The sequence below is a fragment of the Homo sapiens genome, chromosome 3, assembly GCF_000001405.40.
Source record: "Homo sapiens chromosome 3, GRCh38.p14 Primary Assembly".
In the NCBI taxonomy this organism is placed as follows: Eukaryota; Metazoa; Chordata; class Mammalia; order Primates; family Hominidae; genus Homo; species Homo sapiens.
This window is the reverse complement of record NC_000003.12, coordinates 171,065,086-171,077,253: the sequence shown is the minus strand read 5'-3', so window position 1 is coordinate 171,077,253 and position 12,168 is coordinate 171,065,086. Positions and strand designations below refer to the sequence as shown.

General features: G+C 38.0%; 1 protein-coding gene across 8 annotated transcripts in view, besides 1 other annotated feature; it reads left to right on the top strand.

Moving 5' to 3' along the window:
• Nucleotides 1-12,168, top strand: part of TNIK (TRAF2 and NCK interacting kinase) — a 401,995-nt gene that overhangs the window by 383,155 nt on the left and 6,672 nt on the right. For all 8 annotated transcript variants that reach the window (NM_001161566.3, NM_001161565.3, NM_001161562.3 and 5 more), the window contains 4 exons: nt 5,931-6,031; nt 8,257-8,406; nt 10,519-10,678; nt 10,928-11,067. In NM_001161566.3, the coding sequence (NP_001155038.1) occupies nt 5,931-6,031; nt 8,257-8,406; nt 10,519-10,678; nt 10,928-11,067 (551 nt within the window). The remainder of the gene's footprint in view (nt 1-5,930; nt 6,032-8,256; nt 8,407-10,518; nt 10,679-10,927; nt 11,068-12,168) is intronic.
• Nucleotides 8,308-8,508: a silencer, noted in NCBI's record as "peak4922 fragment used in MPRA reporter construct". NCBI's record gives its function as "represses an SCP1 promoter by STARR-seq MPRAs in K562 erythroleukemia cells {active_cell/tissue: K562}" and the evidence as "EXISTENCE:reporter gene assay evidence [ECO:0000049][PMID:32103011]".

Here is a 12,168-nt window from a genome sequence, read left to right as displayed (position 1 = left end):
ATAAGTCCTGGCAGAGTGGGACAATGCAGGGTTCCAGGAAAGATGCCTCCAAGAAAAATAAAATGGTATAAATAGATGACCTGCTGCGTTTGACCATGTTGAAGGGCATTTATCAGCAGAAAGTTTACATGTGCTTAGAGAGAGATACATAGAAAACAAGTATAAAAAAAAAGGGGGGGGGGAACAAGAAAGGAAATGTAACCATGGTATACTACATACCTCAGTCATGAACAATAATAATTTTAACACTCAATATTGATTTAACCAAAAATTTAAAATACAGCTATATTTAGAGTTTACAGAAGTAAATCGTGTGTGCATATGCATAAGAAAGAGAAGAAGCTAGAGAGAGAAGGAAATGATGTGAGAAATTAAATCCTTTCCATACTACAAAGTCAGTAAATAATGTCTGTGACTGAAAAAAAAAAATCAAGGAATAACATTATAATCATGTTATTTAGAAATCTGGAAACAAATTGCTGAAAGAAGTAGTTGAAAGAGTTGCAAGCGGTTGTTTTTATGGAGCAGGAATCAGCAGGGAGGCAGGTACTTGGTTTTCATAAGCCCTAGAGTTCTTTGGCTTTTTAAAATAGGTACCTGTAAGACTTGTTCAATCCATAGCTGATAAGAAAATGTGTGGAGGCTTTTAAAATGTGTACTAGATAAAATACATTAATTATTTAACATAAAGAATGACAATAAAGGAGCGGCGGAGGAACTTTAGACACCTTCAGTTCAAAGGAGTCCATGATGTGGTCTCAGAAAAGTATGAGACACATTTGAAATTTTAACCAGTCAAGTGGGTCCAATCATGTGTGATGACATAATGTCGGCTGAAATCTAATCAAGTGTATCAAATACAGAATGTGGAAACAGAAGGGGCATGCTATAAAGAAGAGCTCAGAAAGAAAGAACTTCAGTGTATCACATTTTGCCAACTAGAAAGGGGACTCTATTTTGAAGCAGAGTCTCCACCTGCCTTTTCTCTAATTTCATTCCAGGTGACCTTCCCAGATAACCTTGACACAATATTAGGAAGTGTTGGGGCTGGCTAGTGAACCTGAAGGTTTGGTGCCTGAGAAGGACATGTTCCTCACTTAATAACATGTCACTCACAGTTTTACAAAGGAAAAAAAAAAAGCCCCTGACCTTACAACATTATCTATGTCTTACAACATAGATAATGTATGTATTGATAAGTATAAAAAGCAGCCTTTGGGCCGGGCACAGTGGCTCACGCCTGTAATCCCAGCACTTTGGGAGGCCAAAGCACGTGGATCGTGAGGTCAGGTATTTGAGACCAGCCTGGCCAACATAGTGAAACCCTGTCTCTACTAAAAATACAAAAAATTAGCCAGGCATGGTGATGGGCACCTGTAATCCCAGCTACTCGGGAGGCTGAGGCAGGAGAATCACTTGAACCTGGGAGATGGAGGTTGCAGTGAGCCGAGATGGTGCCACTGCACTCCAGCCTGGGCAACAGTACGAGACTCCATCTCAAAGAAAAAAAAAAAATAGCAGCTTTTGGAAAAAAAAAAAACGTTTAATGTCTGTAAACGTATGTGGCCAGAGCCACATCTACATCTCACCGGCACTTAGCACAGAGCCAGGCCCAGGGAAATCAGTTAAGAAGTATTTGTTTTTTTAAAAAGGAATGGATGTTCAAAGGACATAGCTTTATTCATAAACCAGACCACATGCGGGAATGTTTTTCTATAGCAGGCTGGGCAGCAGTGCAAGCTATTTGCTCCACTGTACATTTTTGTTCAGGAATCAGAATTATTTGGTACTTTCTAATAGGGATACCCTGGAATTCTAATTTTTTCTTGTCCTCAATCTGATAATTTGGCAAAGTATAAAACATACATCCCATCATTCTCACACCAAATAGAATTCAGATTCATATGCATATTTGGTTTTCTTTTGAAAATAGTGAGCTGCTTTCTTTGAGAACAGGTCATGTTTTCAGGGGAAAGCAATAGAAACAATTTCAAAGCTGTTTCCTTTTGAGTATTTTGCCTTTATTACTTGGCATTTGTTAGTCCAAAGATTTCTAGTGATCAAATTTTGTGTCCATAAACTAATACTGTATGATTACAGAGCAATAAAATTCATTGCAGGAAATAATGCAAAATTTCTGAATATTATCTCTTGCATATACCTGACAAGTGTTTTTCAAAAACATCAGGCTACAGGAATCCTATTTGACCTGCACATCTACTGTTGGCCCTTCTAACATTTCTGACGTCTTCCTTCTAATCATTGCCGTCCCTTCATTGTCCTAACATCAGTAGGCTGATCTATATCCACACATCTAAAGTAAAATTTAACCAGGGAGCAATATCTGGTAATTCTCTATCAGAAAACTTGAGACCAGCTTAATTTTCAGAAACACTGTTTGCCTTAGTTATCCAAAGAACCACTTGTAGTTTCCACTTAGCTTCCCCTATGAAATTCCAGCCACAACAGCACTGACATCTTCTTGTAGCACGAGTATTCTAGTATGTTCAAATTCTTGTGAAATTTTAAAAATATAAAATGAGAATAAAAAAGAAAAGCAAATTGTATATCCAAGAGTCATTTAAAATATTTCTTGATTTATCTGAGCCTATATGTGCTTAGATAAGTTTTTATTTTCAAGATGATTTTAAATTTCTTTAAAAATATAAACTTATTTATTTCTTCTTTCACCCTGAAAATCAGCAAAATCTGAAGGGATTTTTTTTTCTTTTCTTTTTAAAATTTATTTTAGATCCAGGGGGTACATATGCAGGTTTGTTTCATGGGTATATTGCATAATGGTGAGGCTTGGGCTTCCAGTGAACTCATCAGCCAAATTGCGAACATTATACGCAACAGGTAAATTTTCAGCCCTTAACCTGCCACTCCCCTTTTAGAGTCCTCAGTGTCTATTATTTCCAGCTTTGTGTCCATGTGCACCCCATTGTTAGCTTCCACTTATAAGTGAGAACATGTGTTGACTTTCTGTTTCTGGGTTATTTTACCCTAGGAGATTGGCCTACAGCTCCATCCACGTTGCTGCCAAGGGCACGATTTCATTCTTTTTATGGCTGCATAGTATTCCATGCTGTATATATACAACAGTTTCTTTATCTAATCAACCATTGATGGACAACTTGATACCATGACCTTGCTGTTGTGAACAGTGCTGCAATAAATGTACAAATGCAGGTGCCCTTTTGATTTAAAAAAAAAAAAAAAAGTTATTTTCCTTTGGGATTTACCCAGAAGTGGGACTGCTAGGTAGAATGGTAGTTCTATTTTTAGTTCTTTGAGAAATCTCCATACTGTTTCCCAAGGAGACTGAACTAACTTACATTCCTACCAACAGTGTATAAGCATTCCCTTTTCTCTGCAGCCTCACCACCATCTTTTTTTTTTTTTTTTGACCTTTTAGTATTAGCCATTCTGACTGGTGTGAGATGGCATCTCATTGTGGTTTTGATTTACATTTCTCTGATGTTCAGTGATATTGAGCATTTGTTCATCTGTTGGTTGGCTGCTTATATGTCCTCTTTTGAGAAATGTGTGTTCATGTCCTTTGCCCACTTTTTAATAGGATTTTTTCTTGTTGAATTGTTTGCATTCCTTGTAGAAATTTGTTGGATGCATAGTTTGCAAATATTTTCTCCCATCATGTAGGTTGTCTCCTTACTCTGTTGATTGTTTATTTTGCCACACAGAAGCTCATTAGCTTATTAATTAAGTCCCATTTGTCTTTTTTTGTTTTTGTTGCATTTGCTTTTGAGGTGTTAGTCATAAACATGTTGTCTAGGCCAATATCCAGAAGAGTTTTTCCTAGGTTTTCTTATTATAGTTTTGGGTACATTTAAATCTTTAATCCATCGTGAGTTAATTTTTGTATATGGTAAGAGATAAGGATCTAGTTTCATTCTTCTGCATATGGCTAGCCAATTTTCCCAGGGTGTCCTTTCCTCATTGTTTATGTTTGTTGACTTTGTTGAAGATCAGTTGGTTGTAGGTATGTGGCTTTATTTCTGGGTTCTCTATTCTGTTCCATTGATCTGTATGTCTATTTTTGTATCAGTAACATGCTTCTTTGGTTATTACAGTCTTACAGTATAGTTTGATGTCAGGTAATGTGATACCTTCAACTTTGTTCTTTTAGCTTAGGATTGCTTTGGCTATTTGGGCTCTTTTTTGGTTCCATATGAATTTTAGAATTGTCTTTTCTAATTCTGTAAAAAACAACATTGGCAATTTGTAGACTGCTTTTGGCAGTATAGTCACTTTAACAATATTGATTCTTCCTATCCATGAGCACGGGATGTTTTTCCATTCATTTGTGTCATCTGTGGTTTCTTCATCAGTGCTTTGTAGTTCTCCTTGTAGGGGTCTTTCACCTTCTTGGTTAAATGTATTATCCTAGGGGTGTGTGTGGGGTGTGTGTGTGTGTCTGTTATTATAAATGGGATTGAGCTCTTGATTTGATTCTCAGCTTGAGCATTATTGATGTAACTGATTTTTGTGCATTAATTTTGTGTCCTGAAACTTTACTGAAGTTATCAGCACTAAGAGTCTTTTGGAGGAATCTTTAGGGTTTTCTAGGCATAAGATCCTGTCATCAGCAGAGATAATTTCACTTCCTCTTTTCCAATTTGGATGCTTTTTATTTTTTTATCTTGCCTGACTGTTCTGGCTAGGACTTCCAATACTATAGGAGTGGTAAGAGTGGAAATTCTTGTCTTGTTCCAGTTCTTAGGGGGAATGCTCTTAGCTTTTTCCCATTCAGTATGATGTTGGCTCTGGGTTTGTCATATATGGCTCTTATTATTTTGAGGTATGTTCCTTCAATGCCAAGAGCTGTGGATCTTTTCCTAGGTTTCAGATGAAGAGATCAGCAAAAATAGTCTAATAAACACTTTATGTCATGAAAAGTTATAAAGCAAGTAACTGGAAACTTAATGTCATTTAAGTATATTAAAATTTTTCCTACCTAGTTTCTTTAGGACTCAGAATATTCTGTTTCTTGAGATATTTTACCAAGAAACTGACTGCCATGTGTACCAACTGTGGATTACGAATTCTCTAAGAATTAGAATCCACACTTAACAGCAAAAGATTCAGAAGGCACTTAAAGGATTGTTCAATTTCTCAAGGTCATCACCGTAAACATTGCTTATTATTCTATCAGAGACACACACGTAGGTAAGAGTAATGAAGAGAATGCCAGACAACAGTCTGTTCTTCCATTTTTCCATTCAATAAGCATTTATTGAGTACTACTTTGTGTAGGCAAAAGCATTGTGGGGACTCAATCATTTAACTAAGCTTCTGTCCATAGAATTTACAATGCTTAATATTCCATCTTTCTAAAGAGTAAAAGGATTTGTCAGTATTCGTAGCCCTTTAAGCCACTAACAGAACCCAAGACTCCTAACACCCCCCTTTCGTTAGAAGCATAAATAAGCAATTATTTCACTTGGTAATTGGAATTCAAATATAAATAATAAGCAAATGGCAGCCTTTATATCTGCCCATTTGCTAATTTTTCTACCATCTTGCCATATCTGCTCTCAGCTACTTAAATATGGGTGAACGTAAAAGCCAGGCAAGCTAACATGAAGGAAATTATGCACATTCTTATTACAATGAATATCAACATCAAGACCTAGTGTTAAAGACAGTCCTAAGCAGTTATATCTCTGGATGATGAAAAGTCTTCAATATAAAGCAAAAGCCATAAGTATTCTGCCAACCAAAGTTCGCTAAGGGAAGCTAAATCAGTATCTATGAAAAAATCCCACACCAGGAATATCACCTTCATGAAGCTGACACCCAACATCAATATTTAAATTTACATATTGTTGCTTATACATTCATTAATATTAATACAAAGAACTTGAGTAAATTGATGTACTTTTTCACTCATAATTTTTCTATTACAGTTAAATATGAAAGGATCAAATTTTTGGTGATTGCCTTAAAGAATGCTGTGGAAATATATGCTTGGGCTCCTAAACCGTATCATAAATTCATGGCATTTAAGGTAAGCAGGGATGTGATTATCTAAAATGTGCTTTTTAAAAATTTTCCGTTTCTACCCATTAATAAAATAGTCCATATAGACCAATACCAATTTTCATATAGATAATAAACCTGTTTTAAAAGTGTAGGTACTCTAGGGTTTATTGTTTCAAAAGTAAAGACTGAATATTTGTAAATGCTATAAAATTAGATTAAAATTTGGGTATGCCCTCCTCCTTGAGATCTATGAATCATCATCCTCAAGAGGCATTTAGAATGGTTAGTAGGCATAGCATTGATTATGATCTTATGCAATGACATTTGTTATAAAGCCACCTAAACCAGGGTATTCCCTGATATTTTGTTTGAAAAAGGCAGACAAATGGCAGCACTGAATCTCAGAGTTAAACTGAGTCTCTTTTAATCCTCATAAATCTTTCTGAATGAAGTCCCTAAAACTCAGGTGATGCTTATATGTCCCCAGTGCTAACTTACAGAAATGACCTAGTTTCTCTGCATTCTTCTATTTTGATTGCCTTTTCATTTTTTTACCTTGTCTAAGTCTGTACCCACCATGGTTGGATTGGTCACTCATGAGATTTGCCAGGAGTGGGATGGGGATATGCTAGTCCTGTTGACCCCAGCTCATGAAGCTGACACCCGAATACCAGGAGGACCAGTACTTACAGGCACCCAGATGTGTTCAGAGCCGCATAACCTATCCATAGCCCAAGTGAACTTATCTTCTGTTTTCTCTCACTCTCTCTCTCTGATCTCTCTCTGTCTCTCTCTCTCTCAGCTTATGTCTGTCTACTTCTTTATGTCTCATTGGCTCTCACTTTTTCTCCCCACCTTTATGACTGTTATCTCCATTTGGCTCCTTATTATTTTCTGCCACATTCTCATGAAGGGCAAAACTGCCCTTGGAACACCATGTAGGCCCACTTCAGAGCTGAATCACTTCTATCTTGTTCCCTTAGGGCAGATGGCTTCTGATGTGCTCAAGAAAATAGATTCATTAATGGAAATGGGCTCCCCTCCATGACCTCACTTTTATGGAAAAAAATTGGAATGCATTAGGTTACTAATAACAAGGGATAACTCCTAAAAGCCAAAGTGGTACTCCTGTTCTGCCAAAATCTATCTCCACAAAAGCTTTTCAATCAACATCCCATTCCCATTCTTGCTCTGAAGTTATTGCCATTATTTTATGACCCAGAGACACATGAGAGAGTGCAAAATGTTCTTTCTGACAGACCCTATCCAGCCCAGAAAGAGGGAAGAGCAAAGGCAAAGACTTGAACAGGAAAGAGTGGAACTGGCAAGAGGCCAAGCCTTCCCATAGGACAAGGACAGGACGCTAGAGCTTCCCATGCTGTCAGAATGGTGTTAGCAAAAGATGAGAAGAGAAGGGTCTGAGAGGTAGCAGTGGCATTATAGTTAAGGCAATTGTAGTTTCACAAATGCTCTCCCAGATCTCAAGGCCCAAAGGTAGAGCGTGGTTAAAAAATAGCAAAGGAAAATGGCAGAGGAACACTTGACAGTTAGTTGGGGCTTGGGCTCTGGATTCAAACACAGAGAACTTTGACAAACTTGGCAAGATCTCTCTTTTTGCTTTCTAGTTAAACCCAAATAGTCAATGCAAGCCATCAATCTTGTGATGTTCCACTCCCACCTCTTTCTCTACCACCCAAACCCAAGTCTCAGATTCCAACATTAAGAGAAAGTGCCAATCTTATGCCTACTCATTCACTGAAGAAAAATCCAAACCAGAGCATGCCCATTAATACTAAACAGGCTGAGAAAACAGCCGGCCTTGGCTGTCCCTCCCAGGCTGTCTCTGAAAGGGTAGTTGCTGTGGATGGGCCTGGTTGCCACATGGGAAAGAGGGGGGCCAGAGAGGTGACTGGGCCTTCTTCAGAGGACAAAGGCCAGAAATAAACAGGAAAAAACAGCAATACCCAGGCACCAGGTTTTTAATATACATTACCACTATCAAAATTTACACCTGTGCACCAACTTAAACTTCACTGCCCCGAAGGACAAAGGGTAGAGAAAGGGGCACAAATGGATGCTAGACCCTTCCTCCTAGGGCCAGAATATCAACAGACCTAAAACTGAAAGAGAAATTTTCTAGTTTTTCACTTTAATAAAGTTAGAAGTTAACTTCCTCTAGACAGTGGCTAAAGGAAAAAAATTAAGATGCCTCTTTGAGTGATGCGGATACTAATGGGGTGATTTTTAAAGTCTTTTGCAGATCTCCAGCACAAGCCTCTGCTAGTTGATCTCACGGTAGAAGAAGGTCAAAGATTAAAGGTTATTTTTGGTTCACACACTGGTTTCCATGTAATTGATGTTGATTCAGGAAACTCTTATGATATCTACATACCATCTCATGTAAGTACTCAGAAGTAGACTTTCAAGGGCTCTCTGTACAACAGCCTGCATGTAGAAAGAGATTTGTTTTGCATAGTTTTAGTAGAAGTCATGCACACTTTACTAACCAGCAAATGGACTTTCGTTCTTCATTAAGTATACTGCTTTTAATAACTAAAATATATAAATTTAACTAATTTTTATGACTTCCTAAAATTGGGGAATACATAATAGAAATCATTTGGCATTTACATGTTGTCTCTTTGGACTTTAGATTAAAATGAATATGACATATTTCTTTCAAGGGCATGAATTATATTCGGTAGACAAGTTTCCACATTCAGTTTTTGAAGGGAAATTCGTTCATTTTATGTTAGAGAAAGCCAATGGTCAGGTACTAATTTATTGGAGAAAATTCTTTTTTTGCTATTTTTAGTTCCTCTCTTCAGCTTGAGGGCAGTGTGGTACACTGGAGTCAGACACAGTGGCTCTAGCATGTATTAGCTTTGCAGTAATGGACACAGTAGGCAGCCTCTCCAATCCTCAGCTTTCGCATCTGTAAAATATGGATAAAAAGACTTATCCCATAGGATTATCATTAGTATTAAATGAGGTAATGGATCTAAAGCAGTTGGTACAGGGCCCTGCAAATTGTAGATCTTCTTATTAGCCCTAAAATATTCATATTACTATCCTGACATATTGCTTGAAACATAACTGTTAAAGGGAAATGCTGCACATGGATTCACTTATTAGGATTAAGTGTAGTGTAAAGTGTGTGTCCTGTGTGTAATCCCAAGACTAACACACAGGAGAAACTATTTATCAGGAATGTTTGAAGCTACCGCTGACTGGTATTTTGAGAGTTTTAAGACTTTATTCTAATGAAACGCAATAACTAAAAGAAGTTGTTTCAGTATATTACATACACACACACGACTGCCATTCATTGCTGCATTATTACCACTTTTAACTCATGTGGATGTGGGTGAACACAAGGACTCACAGCTCACATTCCTGGTGAGGCAGCTAAGGTGTAACTATGATAATCCTCAACTCTCTTAGTCCAATCTGTCAAGCACATGTTGGGCTGCCATGGCATTCTCAACTAGGGGATCACAACAACATCACATTTCCTTTCCTAGAACAAATTAATATACACTTATTTCAATAGTGATTTTTTTTTTTTTTTTTTTGGATACGGAGTCTCGCTCTGTCACCCAAGCTGGAGTACAGTGGCGTGATCTCGGCTCACTGCAAGCTCCGCCTCTCCTGGGTTCACACCATTCTCCTGCCTCAGCCTCCCGAGTAGCTGGGACTACAGGTGCCCACCATCATGCCCGGCTAATTTTTTGTATTTTTAGTAGAGACGGGGTTTCATCGTGTTAGCCAGGATGGTCTCGATCTCCTGACGTCGTGATCCGCCCGCCTCGGCCTCCCAAAGTGCTGGGATTACAGGCATGAGCCACTGTGTGCGGCAATAATGATTTTTTTTAATGAGTGGTCATTCTAAATATTTTTTCTAACCAAGCCATGAATTATTCTGGCATTTAGACACCCGGATAAACAATCCTATATATATATTTTTTTTTCACAGATTATTTTGGTAGTTCATTTTGACCCCACTTAAGCTATCTCCATTAGATTCAGCTGGCTTACATTCTCCTCATCTTCTTTTGGAAGTGGTTGTGCTAATAGAAAACACATTAATTTCAACGTCAGCAAGATATACACAAATCCCAACTCTACCAACAAATACTAGCACAACTTTGGTTAAGACACAAAGCCCTTCTGAGATGCAGTTTCCTCATCTGTAAACAAAGCTATCTACCTTGGGGAGCTATTGTAGGTACTAGAAATTATATATGTAAAGGGCCCCATGACTGGCACATAGTAGGTGTGCCATAGATTTACATGCTCTTTTTAGGAACAGGTAAATTGAATTTTTAATCTAGTGACTAAGTTTGATTTACCAGGGTATTTTACAAGTCAGTGGTTAAATTAAAGCAAATTTCAGTCTTTAGGGTGACAATGAAAATAAACAAAAACCTCTTTTTTGCAGTTGTTAGAGATGAATAGTCAAGGTGTTTTATTTTTTAAAAGAATAATGCTTGGCTTTTCTTTGTCTTCTAGATTCAGGGCAATATCACTCCTCATGCTATTGTCATCTTGCCTAAAACAGATGGAATGGAAATGCTTGTTTGCTATGAGGATGAGGGGGTGTATGTAAACACCTATGGCCGGATAACTAAGGATGTGGTGCTCCAATGGGGAGAAATGCCCACGTCTGTGGGTAGGTTAACCATTCCTTATCTCCTTCAGCAGTTACACCCCCCAAATGAAACGAAAATCAAGAAATGTGAAACAACCATTTGATTCCACAAAAAAAAAAAAAAAAAAATCTGTGAATAACTCTTGTAAGACTTGCTTTGTCCATTTATCTCAAGTCGTTTGTCATTTTTGTGGTTAAGATGTGAACAGATGCTGTGAGTTATTGCCCATCTAATGTTTTTAATGCAGTTTTGGAAATTCCTTTTGACAGCCTACATTCATTCCAATCAGATAATGGGCTGGGGCGAGAAAGCTATTGAGATCCGGTCAGTGGAAACAGGACATTTGGATGGAGTATTTATGCATAAGCGAGCTCAAAGGTTAAAGTTTCTATGTGAAAGAAATGATAAGGTAAATCCGTTTCAACATTTGCATTAGTGTTTGCATTTTAAGAGACCACCAGGTACCTGTGAAACCTTCATTTTCCTTTATACTGATTTGAATCACATCTGTGTTAAACAATCAATATTATCTTGAAATGGCATTATTTGGTTTGATCCATGTGAGCACTCAATATATTATTCACATGTCAAAAACTACATAAAAACATTTAGAAATTTCTTGTAAACCTCTTAGAAACCTTTGTGGCCTAAAGGCCTTTTGATGACTCAGCAGACACCCCAAATTCTCCTAAGCACTTAGAGCAGTTGGCCCATCATTAATCATCTCACAGTGGGTCAACTTTATACTTCCACTTTTAGACTTTTCACAAAGTCACTTTCAAGACCTAACCAATCACCTTATATTCACCTTTAAATCCAAAACATTTGACGTTTAGAAATATAAGCTTTTTAAAAATGTCACCCATTCCTTAAGGAATGCACAATCACAAACTCAACTAGTGCCATGTCTTGTGTCATTCCAGCCATGTTTCTTCTGAAATGTCATAGGTGAACTGTTTTCCAGTGAAATTGGCTGTGTCCGTCTGGCATGATCAGTGACCTCAGAGGGGTATTCTGCAGCAGTACTGCTTCTCCCTTACCCTCCCTGTAGAGTAACCCCGAGGTTTTAGTAGCTAAGCCATACTGCATTTGTGAATTCATCCTTTGTGGCTGTGGCCAACATAGAAATGCTGTCCCCAAAGCCACAGACATAAACGCCTATAGAAAAACAGTATGATGGGTTGAATTTTTGTATATCCCTTTGTCCACCCCAGTTCCCCAAAGGTCAGGTTGGTCTTAGTCCAAACCTGGTGATGTGGGCCTAAACTATATTCAACCCTGGCCCACTACTCTGACCTGATGTGGTCTGGGTGGACAGTAGCTGCAGGTGGCAAAGATGGTTCCAGCCATTTAGATTTCCCAGAAAACAAACATAACCTAGTAAAACTCCAGCTCCCACCCAGTCTCTAAGAATCAAAAAACCAGGAGTGATCTGGGTATGGATACCCACATTCCGATTGAAAACCTACCCCAGCAGGGCTGTTCCAAGCCATGCCACACCCTTAGGAGT